At 44.3% G+C, this 15,763-nt stretch overlaps 1 protein-coding gene across 7 annotated transcripts in view, besides 1 other annotated feature; it reads right to left on the bottom strand.

Moving 5' to 3' along the window:
- ANXA4 (annexin A4) overlaps positions 1–15,763 on the bottom strand; it is a 183,305-nt gene that overhangs the window by 100,353 nt on the left and 67,189 nt on the right. For 5 of the 7 annotated variants that reach the window (XM_017003943.2, XM_047444082.1, XM_047444081.1 and 2 more), the window contains one exon: positions 5,889–5,986. The gene's annotated coding sequence lies outside the window, so the exon portion shown is untranslated. Of the gene's footprint in view, positions 1–5,888; positions 5,987–11,568; positions 14,251–15,763 lie in introns of all 7 variants that reach the window. The other 2 variants (XM_047444083.1, XM_024452835.2) reach the window with 1 other exon arrangement.
- Positions 2,002–2,051: an enhancer, noted in NCBI's record as "active region_15976". NCBI's record gives its function as "activates an Ori minimal core promoter by ATAC-STARR-seq in GM12878 lymphoblastoid cells {active_cell/tissue: GM12878}" and the evidence as "EXISTENCE:reporter gene assay evidence [ECO:0000049][PMID:35858748]".

The following is a 15,763-nucleotide window of genomic DNA, read 5'->3' as shown; positions in this document are numbered from 1 at the left end:
CACAACAGTACTTCTTATTTTATGTTATTGATAGAAAATTCAAAAGCAAGTGCAATTCATCTATGGTTTTAAAAGTCAGGATAATGGTTACCCTTGGGGTGACTAGAAGGGTTTCTGGGGTTCTGATAATATTCTGTTTCTTGATCTAAGCACTGATTACATGGTTGTGTTCACTTTTGGCAAATTCATTGAGCTGTGTGTTTCTCTGTATGTATGTTATGCTTCCATTAAAAGTTTATATTAAAGAAGTCAATCTTTTAGGCGAAATCATCGCATTTTTCTAGCATAGTAATAAAGACACAGCTAGTGTAAGCTGACAAATGAGTTAAACTCCTGAGCTGAAGAATGCTTGGATTGGCCCTGTATTAGTCTGTTTTCACATGCTATAAAGAACACCCAAGACTGGGTAATTTATAAAGAAAAGAGGTTTAATTGACTCACAGTTCTGAATGGCTGGGGAGGCCTCAGGAAACTTACAATTATGGCAGAAGGTAAAATGGAAGCAAGGCGTCTTACGTGTTGGCAGGAGAGAGTGAGGGGGGAAGTGCCACTTTTAAACTATCAGATCTCATGAACTCACCCACTATCATGAGAACATCACGGGGGAAACCGCCCCCATAATCCAATTACCTCGAGGTCCCTCCCTCGACACCTGGGGATTACAATTCGAGATGAGATTTGGGTGGGGACACCCAAGAGCACCCAGAGCAAAACCATATCAGGCTCTTCAGGAAAAATTATTTTCAAAATACACAATTGATCTCACTGAATAGCTCTGATAATTTTCTCAGCTGCATCCTGACAACTGCATAGTGAAAAAAAAGTCACAAGAACCAAATCATGAAGTGATGACTAAACATATTTTACAGAATTTTGTGCATTTATATATGTGAAAGAAAAACTAATAAAATGTCAGGTAAAATGAGGTGGCTCTTAAAATGCCATTGTTTTCCTTAAAAATAAATGATTACTTGATTTTTCTAGGAAAATACAAAACAGAGGCTGTGAGTGATCAAGAGTCTCATTTAGCCTCTTACAGTGCACATTAGCCTGAAGGCCACACACTCCCTTCACCCACTGTTTGCTCTTCTCTGAGCCTTGAGCCTCTTCAGCTCATGGGAATTGACTTTGAAGGTGGACAAGACGATGTACCAGCGTGATGGAAGTGTTCTGTGTCCTAATGGGGGCGGTGGCTACACTGGTGTATACATTTATTAAACTCACTGAACCGTACACTTAAGGCACACTTTTAAATACATTTAAAGGCACACATTTGAAGTGTATGGTATATTTATTTGGGGCAGCATTCATATATTTAAATAAATATACAATAAATAAATATATAAATAATAAATATACCATGTATTTATATATAAATAAATAATAAATTTATATATTTATAGATTTAAGTATATGGTATATTTATTTGGGGCATCATTTATATACATTTAAATATATAAATGATGCCTCAAATAAAAAGATGCCGAAATGATTAATGCTAAAATGATAGATGTTAATATATATGTTAATATGTTATATCTCTGTAAATAGCTATATGTCACCTTGAGTCAGAATTTATTAAACTGACATCCATTATGTTATCAGTAAGCCCTCCTGGCATTTCTCAGGTGGATGTCAGGAAGCTGAGCTCCCTGTGGCTTGACCTGCGTCTCCTGGGTTTAAACATCGGCTGACTGCAGGAGTCAGAGGGAGAAGAAAAGGAGACAGGCTGTGCATGAACTTGACGAGTGCCATGAAACAATTATTCCACTCAATAAAATTTCTTGACAGGATGAGCAGGTATTTTCAAATCGCATAATAATGAAGCTGGGATCAGCTAAACGTTCCACACGGACAGCGGCTGCAACCCAGCTTCCTCTCAAATTCCATCCTCAGGAAAGTGTTTCCAGTACTTAGGCGAGGACGCCATCTAGTGGCAGAAGAAGCAACCACAGGGCGAGAGCAGCGTGGCCGAATGAGTTCATCTTTCTTGCCCCAGCTTATCTTTCTTTCTTGCCCCAGCTTATCTTTCTTTCTTGCCCCAGCTTATCTTTCTTTCTTTGCCTTTTTACAGAACTAAGGTCTCTTGGCAGAAGGTAATTCTCCACTAGTGGACTGCCGGTGGTGGGTTAGTCACTCACCAAAGGGCTTGAAAGGATCTTCTGAAAAGATGCTTTGACACTGAAGAGAATTGAGGGGGCTCTTTTGAAGGGACAGAGTCAGACACTAAATCTCCCCTAGCCAGGACAGTAATGGTGACAGCTGGGGACACAAGGCTGCAATTAGCCCATACCTGCCTGACGTATTTGTACTAATTAGAAAAAGTCTTCTTTTATATGGGGGGATGAAGCCCCAGGGTGCACGACTTGGTAAATGGAATACTGGCTGTTTTTCAGCGGCCCTCCCTGCTTCTGCCAGGAACTCTTGTACAGTAGACAACCTGCACGACCATGTGCTGCAGCCCTTAGGCAGCAATAGTACCTTCTCCTGGCACCTCATTTGCCCACAGCAAACACCAGTTTCTAGGAGATGGGGCACAAGATGGGTACACCCACCCTCAAATGTATCCTTAAGGTATTTGGATAGCCATTGTTGCATGTGGATTTCCATTTCTTTTCTTTTTCTTTTTTTCTTTTTTTGAGATGGAGTTTCACTCTTGTTGCCCGGGCTGTAGTGCAATGGCGCGATCTTGGCTTACCGCAACCTCCGCCTCCCGGGTTCAAGTGATTCTCCAGCCTCAGCCCACCGAGGAGCTGGGATTACAGGCGTGCGCCACCGCGCCCGGCCCCATTTCAACAGTTCAGAAGTTTTTAGCTTTCGGGCCTAGGTTTTGAAAGCCTCTTGCAGCTGAAATGGAGAAAGGGTAGGAGCTTCTCATGTAGTGTCTTTAGGAAAATAGCATCACAGGCTGGGTGCAGTGGGTGGTGCATGCCTGTAATCCCAGCACTTTAGGAGACCAACGTGGGAGGATGACTTGAGCCCAGGAGTTTGAGATCAGCCTGGGGAATATAGCAAGACCCTGTCTCTATTAGAAGAAAGAAAACAAAATAAAATAGCATCACACAGCTATGTCATAAAAGACTGTAGTGTGGGATTGGACATCCAAAGTTATAGATAAACGGCATAAGAAATTTTATGTCATAAAATTTGTGGATAGACAAAAGACACACTGCAGAACTAAAGGAAAATGTTTATTCACTTAGCTAACATTTCCTAAGTACCCTGGTTGGAGACATTGGACTAGGAAGAGGGAACAATGGTGACTAGAACAAGAGTCTCTCTGCTTGGCAGACTCCATGGTCATCACCACATCCTTGCCCTAGAAAATGCCTGCTCTCCTCCCCTAGTCCACACTGCAAAAAGCTTGTCTTTTTTTTGAAGCCTTCTGGAGTTCAGGAGTTTCTTCATATCACTTTGGAGGCATCTTTTAGCACATCTTATTATAATTACTACATATTTATTTAGTAGCTTTTACCTCCCCCTGAATCAGCTTATTGTTTCTTTGTTTTCTATTTCATTGGTGTTTGCTCTTATCTTTATTATTTCCTTCATTATACTTTTTTTTTTTTTTGAGACAGTCTTGCTCTGTCGCCGAGGCTGGAGTACAGTGGCATGATCTCGGCTCACTGCAACCTCCACCTCCCAGGTTCAAGCGATTCTCCTGCCTCAGCCTCTCTAGTAGTTGGGACTACAGGATCGTGCCACCATGCCCGGCTAATATATATATATATATATATTTTTTGGTATTTTTAGTAGAGATGGAGTTTCATCATGTTAGCCAGAATGGTCTTGATCTCCTGACCTCGTGATCCGCCCACCTCGGCCTCCCAAAGTGCTGGGATTACAGGCATGAGCCACCATGCCCGGCCTATTTCCTTCATTATTCTTTCTTTAGGTTTACTCTGCGCTTTTTTCTATTGTCTTTAGTTGAACTCTGACCCATTTATTTGTTTTTGCTATTTTTTATTGTAGTTAAATACATATAACATAAAATTTGCCGTTTTAAACATTTTGACGTGCATAAATTCAGTGGCATTAATTAAATTCACGATGTTGTGCAACTATCATCACTATTTCTAAAACTTTTCATCACCCCCAACAGAAAGTCTGTATCCATTAAGCAGTAAATCCCCATTCCTACCTCCCCCGAGACCCTAGTAACCTCTAATCTCCTTTCTGTCTCTATGAATTTGCCTGTTCCCGATATTTTATACAAGTAGAATCATATAATATTTGTCCTTTTGCGTCTGCCTTATTTCACTTAATGTAATGTTTTTAAGGCTCATCCATGTTGCCGCATGTGTCAGAACTTCACTGCTTTATATGGCTGAATAATATTCCATTGAATATACATACCATATTCTGATCCATTCATCTGTTGATGGACACTTGGGCTGTTTCCACTTTTTGGCTATGGCGAATAACGCTGCCGTGAACACTGGCATGCAAGCGTGAGTTTGAGTCTCTGTTTTAAATTCTTTTGAGTATATACCTATAATTATGTCTTTACATCACTGCTACTTCCAATAGACCATAGACCTTTAAGGTTGGTCTCATTCATTTTTACATCCCCAGACTTAGCACAGGCCAAATACACAGTAGGAATGGGTGTGAGTTTGGTAAATAAATGAATAATGATAACAATATTTTACATCCATGAATCACTTTGAAGGTTATAAAACACTGGTCATTTTTTTTTATTTAATCTTCCCAATGACCCTGTGAGATACTTAGGAGAGTCTAATATTATTATTTCTATTTTATAGAAGAGGATAGCCAAGGTAAAAGAATCAGTGTCAAAGTCACTTAGGATTCAAATCCAAACCTTTCACCATCTAGTTCAATTCCATTTTCATCCTAACTTGCTGTTTCTCCTGTTATTTCTGACAAAAAATATTGGTGAAAATATCCATTCTTACTGAAAATTAACTACAGGAATATAATAAAGGTTTTTCTATAAAAGAGCCAGAGGAGACTGGGGGAGGTCTTGATTTGTCCTTATTGTCTAGTCAAATAGCTGCTTACCTGGAGTTTAAACAATCCAGAGTAATTTTTTTTTTTTTGAGACGGTCTCACTCTGTTGCCCAGGCTGGAATGCAGTGGCATGATCACAGCTTGCTGCAGCCTCTACCTCCCAGGCTCAAGCAATCCTCACCTTAGCCTCCCAAGTATATGGGACTACAGGCGTGTTCCACCGTGCCTGGTTAACTTTTCAATTTTTTTTGTAGAGACAGGGTCTTGCCAGCCTTGTCTCCAACTCCTGGGCTCAAGCAATCCTCCTGCCTCAGCCTCCCAAAGTGCTGGGATCGCAGGCATCAGCCACCAAGGCCAGCCAGAGTGATCTTTCGACATCAGATTTGCTTGTGTTATTGCTGCTCTACGTGAAACCTTCCAATGCCTTTGCAGTGCTTCCAGGGTAAATAACAAAATCATTAACAGGCCTACCCACCCTGTAGAGTCTAGCTTTTGAGATCTAAACTCCAATCTCAACAGGGACTAGACAATTAGCTTAAATGAGCAAACAGGCTGGGTAAGAGATGAAAAACAGCAGCTGGCTTTTGGCTGCAGTGGTGGGAACTGACAAAGAGTGGCCGGGCTGTGGCAGCTCGGAGAGTCCATGCCACATGTGAAGCAGCAGCCAGGGCTTGATTTATTGCCATGGGGGCATGCAGGCCCAGGGTGGCCAGACCTCCCAAGTTTCTTAGAGGAGCAGAAATCTGGATATTTTGTGTGACATCTATATATGTTTAATAATGGCAATGAATTCAAATTTAAAAATCATTTGGGCCAACACTTTGGTGAGAATCAGAGGAAGCAGAACAGGCCAGATGCTGCCCACAGAAGATGGAGACCTCAACTCTTTGCTCTGCATGTCTCTCCTGGCTTACCTCCGGTCCCTCTGTACTCTGGCCATACCAGATATCTTCTAGGACCTCTTATGCAGTAGTTCTCAACCCTGGGTGCACACAGGAATCACTGAGGGGACCTGGAAGAAAAAAAAAGTGACATTTGGACCCCTCCTCTGGGTATTTCTTTAATGATGTTCACATATAGGCAGATTGAGAATGTCTAATTACCAACTGGACTTCTGCCTCCAGCTGTGCCCCCTCTGGTCAATTTCCCATATTGCAGCAAGAGGAATCTTTTAAAAACATAAATCTGATCAAGTCACTTCCCTACTCAAAATCTTCCATGGCTGCCCCTTGCCATCAGGATACATAACTTTGCACTCTTGGAAGGTCCTTCATGCTGCATCCCATGCAGAGCCCTCCATCCTCACTTCTTCCCCTCACTGCCTCTGCTCCTCCCCACCGTGAATGAACTTTGCTTCAGCTCCCCTGAATTTCTTGAAGTTCCATGGATGCACTGTGCTCTTTCACCTATGAGCCTTTGAACATGTGCAGTTGGCAAAGCCTGCGTGAAAGTGGTCACCAAGGCACTGATGGAGCGAGAGGAGGGACCGGGGGGATTTGAAGCAGTGCAGAGAGGTGGCCAACACTAGTACTATGTTCAAAAAGGGGAAAATTGAAGGCAGAGATTACAATTAGTATTGCTTGTTTCCCTCTCCCCAGCCCTCCGAGGGCCAAGTCCTGAGCATATGAAACAAATTCTGAATTGAATCGGAATTACATTCTCAGGAAATAGTCTCTAGTCTGCTTGCTTATTTGGAGGGGGAGCTCGTTCCTAATCTGAATGAGAGTCAAAGCAGAACAGTAGCACTAATGACCTATGTATTCACCCAAAATGCCAATATTTATTGATCATTTACTGGTTGCCTGGCACGTTGGAACTGTAATGACAACCAGAGAGCTTATTGCCAATTGGTAAAGACTTCGCCAGGCACAGTGACTGATGTCTGTAATCCTAGCACTTTGGGAGGCCAAGGTGGGACGATCACTTAAGCAGGAGTTTGAGACCAGCCTGGGCAACATAGTGAGACCCCATCTCTACTAAAAATACAAAATTTAATGATTTTTAACTAATGATTTTTGTATAATTAATAATTCAAAAAATAATTTTAGGCAGGGCATGGTTTCTCATGCCTGTAATCCCAGCACTTTGGGAGGCTGAGGCAGGTGGATCACTTGAGGTCAGGAGTTCGAGACCAGCCCAGCCAACATGGTGAAACCTGTCTCTACTAAAAATATAAAAATTAGCCAGGTGTGTTGGTGGGCGCCTGTAATCCCAGCTACTCAGGAGGCTGAGGCACAAGAATCACTCAAACCCGGGAGGCAGAGTTTGCAATGAGCCGAGATTGCACCACTGCACTCTAGCCTGGGCAACAGAGCAAGACTCCGTCTCAAAAAAAAATAATAATAATTTTTAAAAATTACTTGGATGTTGTGGCACATACCTGTAGTCCCAGCTACTCAGGAGGCTGAAAGCAGGAGGCTTTCTTGAGCCCAGGAGGCTGCAATGTGCTATGGTTGCACTATCATACTCCAGCCTGGGTGCAGAGCGAGACCCTGCCTCAAAAAAAAAAAAAAAAAAAAAAAAAAGACTGGAAAATAGTCAATGGTTAGAAAACTGTAAAAATGGGGGTGTGGCAAGGTCAGGAGTTCAAGACCAGCTTGGCCAACATAGTGAAACCTTGTCTCTACTAAAAATACAAAAAATTAGCTGGGCGTGGTGGCAGGTGCCTGTAATTCCAGCTACTTGGGAGAATGAGGCAGGAGAATCACTTGAACCTAGGAGGTGGAGGTTGCAGTGAGCCGAGATTGTGCCACTGCACTCCAGCCTGGGTGACAGTGTGAGACTCAGTCACAAAAAAAAAAAAAAGGAGGGTAGCTAGCTTGAGACTTGGAATATCAGGAAAAGCTTTATAAGAGACTCTGGAAGGACAAGCAGAGGCCATGCTGTGTATGCATGTGTGTGTATGCATGTGCGTATGCACACATGTGTATGCATGTATGTGTGTGCATGTATATGTGTGTGCATGTGTGCAGCATGTGTGTGTATGCACGTATGTGTATGCATGTGTGTGAATGTGTGTGTATGTGTGTGTATGCATGTATGTGTGTGCATTTGTGTATGCATGTGTGTGCATGTGTGCGCATGTGCATGCATGCATGTGTATACGTGTGTACATGTTTGTGTATGCATGTGTGTGCTGTGGATAGGGCTGGTGGGAGAGAAGGAAACCCCAAAGCACAAGAAGCAGCAGGTATAAAGCCCTGGAGCCAAAGAAGTCATGACAGGTTCTGGAAAGTGTAAGTAATTCCACAAGTCTGAACCTGAGTGATTCTATGACCTCTTCCAGTGACCTCAAATTCTGGCTAAGCATTTCCCAAACGTAGCTGAAATAGTATCTACTTGAGAAAGTTGAATATAATTTAGTTCCTGGCTGGTGTATTACATCCCCCCAAGAATCTCTTAAGAGATTGTCAGGTAAAGAAGGAAGGGTGAAATGACAAACATCCAGAGGGTGGGGGTGCCATTTATATTGCAATCCATCTCCCAGTGGTAGCCTTCTTTGGGAATTCTGACCAGCTGGGGGGACCTTTCCCCACAGGTTCAAGCTTTTGTCTAGCAAATCTGGGGTCCTCACTTCTGTTATGTAGATGGGAAGCAAGGTTCTCCTGGGGTTACACAGCAGGAACTTGACATTTGGAGAATGTGATTGATGAGTTCTGTCCTCCCACAGAGAAGTCCCATGGTGAGAGAGGGCTCTAGAAGCCAAGTAGCCAGGGGACTTTCCAAACTAAACATCTGCTATGAAATGCAGACCGCACTGAGCTATGCCTGACCTAGCTAGACATACAGCCTTAGGGTATCAAGCATCTCCCTAGCCAGGGTTTCCCCATTAAAACTATTCCTTTTAATTCCAGCTTTCTTACTTAGAGGACCCCTGCTGAAACATTCTAGAGGGAAGGGAGTGCATAGGTTGTGTACGTCTCTTAGTTTGCCTGTCATCTGGTAGAAAGCCAAGGCCCATAGGGATCCAGGCACATTCTAGTTTAGTTAGTGCCTGAAACAAGCAAACTGGATGAGGTACCAGTCCCAGGCATCAGGAAGGCTCAGGGCATCTGCTGCAGAGGCAAGGCTTTGTGGGGAGGGGTCACAGGGAACAACATATTCCAAAGAAGATGAAACAAAGAAAAGCAAAGTTTCCAGTTAGATACGTGGAGTTAAAGAGGAAATGGCGGTAACAGAAAGATGCAGCGACGGGTAATTCCAGAAATGAAAAGGATGGGACATCAGGCCTTTCTGCTTCAACTCAAAGTCAGATCCCTTGAACTCACAAAATAATATTGGCTGATACCCTGGAGAGGGAGGCCTTTGTTACCCTCATTTATGATGCAGGAATAATGATCAAATGCCACCTGCTTGTGTCGATGAGCCAGGCCTGACAATTAAAGGGTGGGCGCCAGGATGGGCTTTGGGAGTGTGGGATGAAAGGCACTGGATGAGAACAAAGGGGCCATGGTGGGAGTTTTCCAGCACCAGCCTCAGTTTTCTGCACAGAAGCCTCCTGCCACCTCAATGCCAGCTTTGAAGGCATAGGCAGGCAAAGAAAACCAACAAGCCAAACAAAATGCATATGGATGCTTTTAAATGGGCATGTTCCTATTCAGTGGGCATGAATTGGAGAATATTCATCTTCAGCCACCTCCTGCACCCTCAGGGCGTCAGCTCCTCCTTCCAGGACCACTGAAGAGATGGAGCCCCCACCCCAGCCCCTCTGCTACACGATGCTGCTTTACGGTCTCCCCTGCACTTCCCTTGTTTCTTGATTGGTTTCTCTGGTTATCATCTGTTTTGTCTTGCCACAGTGTGATGCCAGGGAGCAGAGGCTGGACGGTGTTCTCCTCCACACAGTGCTTGGCCAGTAGTAGGCAGACAGCAAACAGCTGAATTGATGACTCAGAAAAACTTAAACATCGCCAACTCTGTCATCTCTTTTAGTAAACCTACTGGACAATTCCATTTAAATGTATGATACTTACTTCAAACTGCACATGAACAAAACACAACTCTTTTCGTTCTTGCCCTCCCCTCTGGCCAATGACCAAGTCAAAAACGTCGAGTCATTTTCCATCCTGAGCTCTTCACCTGGATTCCCGGAGCAGCCTCATAACTAATCCGCTGCCCTCCTGTTGTGCTGTCTCTCAGACCCGTTCTCCCGAGTGATCTTCTCAAAACGAGCTTGAGCATGTCACACCACTGCTTGAAACCCTTTGGGGGCTCCCTGTCGCCCTCACATAAAGACCAAACATTTTAACCTGACAAACAAGGCCTTCCCTGATGTGGCTCTCGCCCGTCTCTCCAACCCCCTCTGCACATCTCAGCTCAAGTCATCCTGAGCTGCTCGCAGTTCCTCGAGTGCAGCTGCTGTTACGTTCACCCTCTGCCTCTCCTCTTATCTTTCTGGTGAATCCCTTTTTTCCTGGTTCACCTGTTCTATGAAGACTTTTTTTGACCAGTATTGTATTTCTCAGGACTCTTGACTTTAAGGGACAGAAACCCAACACAAACTAGCTTCAGTTAAAAGGGGATGTATTAACTCATTTAAGTAAGGACTAGACAGAGCCACCACAGGAATGGCTAGATCCAGACACCCAAACAATGCTGTCAGCTCTCTCTCTCTCTCTTACTCATATGTACATGTATTTTGGCTTCTTATTATGAGTTGGTCTCATCCTTTCTTGCTAGAGGAGACTGTACTCACAGAGAACTCTAGACTTACATACAGTTTGATCACTCCAGGAGAGAGTGAGGCTTCTTTCTCCCAGTCTCAGGTTATTAAAATTATGGGAAAGGCTAAGAGTAGCCTGGCTGGTGACGTGTGCCCAGCACTTGGCCCATGACTAGAGGGACAGTGTTGTGATTGACCATGCCTTGGACTCTCTTTCTTGACCTAGGAAGAAAGAATGGGTATTCCTCTTGAGGGAGCAGCTGCCAGATAAAAGAGGGAGTCTGTTATCACATAAAGAGGGTAGACCACTGATGTCTCCTTCTTACCCCTCCCTCCACCTCCATTTATGTTCCCACTGCCCTCTGTGCATAGGCACAGAAGGGGACAAAACACATTTTGGACTCAGATAGACATAGAGCCAGTTACTGGCTTTATAGTAACTATGTGACTTTGGGAATGTTTTAAGCCTCTTCGTGCCTCTGCATTTGCATCTGTACAATGTTTTAGGGATGTGTTGTGAGGGTTAAAAACCTAGGCAAATTATCTGGGACATAGTAGGTACTATGGCAGTCATAACAATTATATTTGACCATCTCCCTTTTCTAAACCATGATTTGGCCAGGCGTGATGGCTTATGCCTGTAATCCCAGCACTTTGGGAGGCCGAGGTGGGAGGATCACTTGAGACCAGGAGTTCAAGACCAGCCTGGCCAATATGGTGAAACCCCGTCTCTACTAAAAATACAAAAAGTAGCCAGGCATGGTGGTGCGTACCTGTAATCCCAGCTACTTGGGAGGCTGAGGTGAGAATCGCTTGAACCCAGGAGGGGGAGGTTGTGGTGAGAGGAGATTGCACCACTGCACTCCAGCCTGGGTGACAGAGCGAGACTCCATTTCAAAAAATAAATAAATAAAATAAAATAAAAAACAAACCATGATTTGCTTGAGGCAGGGCCTTATTTTAGGCAAAATTTAACTTGGTTATAAGAGCAGGGCTCAAATATATGATGGATTGATTTCTGTCCACTGAAACAGGATGATACTGAAAGATAAGGCAAGTTTTGCAGATGAGGGAGATATTCAGTTCTGTCTTCTTCAATCTTGGCTTTATGATACTGGCCCATTGTTATTATGTAGTCTTCTGTTTCAAGCTCTCCAAAGCATCTCCACATCTGTTACTTGACTTCACTGTGTCACCCTGGAGGGAGGACCTTGCGTTAGGCTTCATGAACAGATCTGATGAGGTATCCACAAGACACAAGGTTAACCAAGAATGGGCAGCAGGGGGCGTTGTGGACAAGCCCCGGGGAAGCCAAGGGAAAAACTGCAGAGGTTCTGAACCTAGACCTGCCCAACGTCCTGCTGACCGACTCAGGCACCTCCGGACCTGGGTGTCTGGCTATTGATTGGGTACATGCTGAAGCACGCTTGCCTCCCAGGGCATCCCATCACAAATTAGGCCCCAGCTCTGGGATCTGGCCCAACGCAGGCCCTCTCCCATGTATAGGAGCTGTGGGGACAACACAGGAGGTTAATGGGAGCTCGGCCAGGATCCCAGGAAATAAAGCACTGAGGTTTGATACACTGATGGGCACACTGTGGACAGCAGGCTGGCTGGACTGGGGCAGGTGGAGTGTTATGTGAGTTTTCGGTCACGTGCCCTCGCCGAAGCCCCGTCTCTTATATTCTTAGGCTTCCTTCGGCTTCGGTTGCCAGGAGTAGGTGCTTGTATTCTATAGAGTCGTTTATATTTGAAATCCTGCATGGATGCATTTGGTCCTCACCGCATCCTTCCTCCCTTCCGGAAACTGTACGCTCCCCTCCTTAGAAGGTCACTTCTCCACTCCATGGGGTTCTGGTGGGGCTCCCAGAATGTGCCCACATCTCCACCCTTACCCCACCCCCCGGCCCACCCAGCCACTGGAGGTGGGAAAGAGCTAGGGCTTGTCAGAAGGCAGACCTTGAAGGAGAAGAGCCTCCCAGTAGGGAGGTCAGGAATGTGCTCAAAATCCAGGCTCAGATGTCTTCAAAAGCCTGGAGAGATGTCACCCACCAGGCACTGTGGTCTTTGGCAACTCATGTGGGACAGAGGTGTAGACTAAAGAATGTTCTGCCCCATTCTCTTGCGGAGGACAGAGCAAGGGAGAGTAGAGCTCCTTCCATATTCGAATTTCCCTTTCTCCTCTTCACGGCAGGGAGTCCGACCTTTGTGTTCCTCCATCAAGTGGAATTTGTGCTGCAGGGTAGACAGCGAAAGCTGCTGAGGCATAACCGTTTTTCCCCCATTCTTTCTTTTTGTGAAAGGCAAAACTCCTCAAAGTCCTAAACTGTTAAGAGAGTTAGGTGCCCCAAGAGGAGACGGGAGAGCGGTGATGCCTTCAGGGCAGCAGCAGAAGCAATGGAAGGATGGATGAGGAACCCCACAAAGGGGAGAGAACTCTGGAGTCTGTGAAGAGCGGGGAGCTGAGACCCAACTCGTTATGTTACGGGTTGTGTGTTGCTGGATCCGGCAGGTAACAGCTTGCTGGACTGAATGTTAAAGTCTCAAGAGTTTTACAAACTGATTGACTTTACTTTTTAAATTGGCTTTATTGAGGTGTACAATTTACATACTTGGAAGCAGCTATGGTAGAAGTGTTTTTACACCATGGAGATTGGCACATACTACAATTCAGGGCTTTCTCTCTGCCCCAGAGCCAGCTGCTAAACATTTACCAGCACACCACCGAACATAAGAGTGGCTTCTTCCAATCTTATCATCCACATATCGCTTCTTCCTTGGGGAGAATGAGTGACAAGAATGGGAGGGAGAGGGCCAGAAAGTGTGTTACACCAATAGCACTCCCCTGAAAATGGAGTAGAGGTTCTTCATGGAAACAAAGAATGGAGATAGAGGGGCTCCCTCTACCTTCCTTCCATCCTTTCATTTTCTTTTTTTTTTTACTTCATAATAATGACTATACTGAAGATTTCAGGAAAGAATAGGAGGCAGCAGGGTGGTGGTTGAGAGTAAGGCTTTGGAGTCAGATGGCATTTGGGTTCCCACAGCAGCTCTGCCACTCTCTAGTTGTGTGGTGTTGTATAAAGTGAGCAAGGTCAGAGTGGGAAGTATTGTTGTATGTATTTAGGGTAGAAGCCAGTCCACTCTGGTCATCTGAGCTCTGTTGGGGATCTTCATTGGCCCCAAAGAGTCCTGTTTTCATCTTCTCTGAGCCACTGCAATGAATGAATGGTGGTAGGCGTCCACAAACCTGGTGCACAAAATGTGGATAGGATTTAGGTGATATCTTCACAACTCAAGAAGAACCCAGGCTTCAACAGTCCAAGAAGCTGTAATCTCCTTCTTCTAGGCACATCTGAAAACAAAATGCCAAATGGGAGGTCCTGTTGCTAATGTTGGTCCTCCAGTTCTTTACGAGGGAGTGGGTAGATCCCATGGCCTGTCTGAATGTCACTTTCCTCATCCATAGGGTAGAAATGACAGGATAACCTCATTATCTTTTGTGAATCCATATTAAAAGGCCCAGAACCATTGCAAATTTGTTACTGAAACTTTCTGGAGTTCCCCAGTTGGATCCAATTAGGATCATTACTGAGATGGTTGTCTCCCCTAGGCTGAAAGAAAAATGCCACCGTTAACCTTTAATCATTCACAACAAACCCAAAGAAAAAGTCCTTGGCCCAGGTCCTAATAGGGCTATTAAAGCTATTTTCCTATTCAGCTGCTTAGACTCGGAGTGAATAACCCGGTAATTTTCTACTGCTTCTCCCCACGGAATGTAAAGGACCAAGAGAGTGAACTCTCCTAACTAATGCGCTTTAAGGCAGGGGCCAGATTTTACCTTCCTGTCTCTTGGTTTGCTTCCACCCTCCAATTTTCTCCTTTGGTTGTTTTATTTTAGTGTGAGGGGTATGTGTTTGTGTGTATGTGGTGGTGGTGGTGGGGTGGGGTTGGGGAACATTTGGTTGTGTGTGGTGTGTCTGTATGTATGTGTGTGGTCTGTTTAGTGGAAAACTTTGGAAGCACGCAATAGTTACACATGGTGTCTAAGACCCCCCAGGAAAAGGAGAGACCAAGAGAATGAAGAGAAAAAAATAAAAATAAATTGAGACAAAATAGGCAACACATACAAAAATCCTATGTATAAAAACTGTTTTCTCAATTTCTTGCTCTCCTTTTTCCTTTTTGCTGCAGTAGAGACCCCCCCATCATGCCCCATATTTCTCTATGTCTCTTTTCTCTCTCTGTGCCCTCATTAACTCAACCTCCTTAACACTTCCAAAACCAGAAATCATTGTCCTGACACCATCCCCCACACCCTTCAAGTCCTATTTCTCTTTCTGAATTCCCCAATCTGTTTTCAGGTTCTATTTTAGGTCAGCTGCCCAAACAAACAAAACCCAAAAAACCATATATCAGAACCATTTCTTATTTTCTTAATTGGCTTTATTGAGGTACAATGTACATACTACAAACTCACTCATCTTAAGTGTTCAGTTTAATTCTTCTTGACAAATGTATACAGTCATACAACCACCACCACGATCAAGGTGTAGAACATTTCCTTCATTCCAAAAAGTTCTTACCTCCACTCCCAAGCCCAGGAAACTAGAAATATCACTATAGTTTTGCCTTTTCTAAAATATCATATAAATGGATTTATACAGTGGGTAGTCTTTGATGCCTGGTTTCTGTCCTTAGCACACTGCTTTTGAGATTTATCTATGCTGTTACATGTATCGGTAGCTTATTCATTTTTACTGCTGAGAAATATTGCATTAAATAGACACATCACAATTGTTTGTTTATCCATTCATCAGTAGATGGACATTTGGGTTGTTTCTCGGCTCATTGCAACCTCTGCCTCCTGGGTTCAAGCGGTTCTCCCGCCTCAGCCTCCCAAGTAGCTGGAATTACAGGTGTGTGTCACTATGCCCAGCTCATTTTTGTATTTTTAATAGAGACAGAGTTTCACCATGTTGACCAGGCTTGTCTCAAACTCCTGATCTCAAGTGACCCACCCATCCCAGCCTCCCAAAGTGCTGGGATTACAGGTGTGAGCAACCACGCCTGGCCAGTTTGGGCTATTATTAATTAAGTGCTCTGAATATTCATATACAGGTTTTT

Source organism: Homo sapiens, chromosome 2 (genome assembly GCF_000001405.40).
Source record: "Homo sapiens chromosome 2, GRCh38.p14 Primary Assembly".
Classification (NCBI taxonomy): domain Eukaryota; kingdom Metazoa; phylum Chordata; class Mammalia; order Primates; family Hominidae; genus Homo; species Homo sapiens.
The sequence above is the reverse complement of the archived record's forward strand: the minus strand, read 5'-3'. Positions and strand labels throughout refer to the sequence as shown.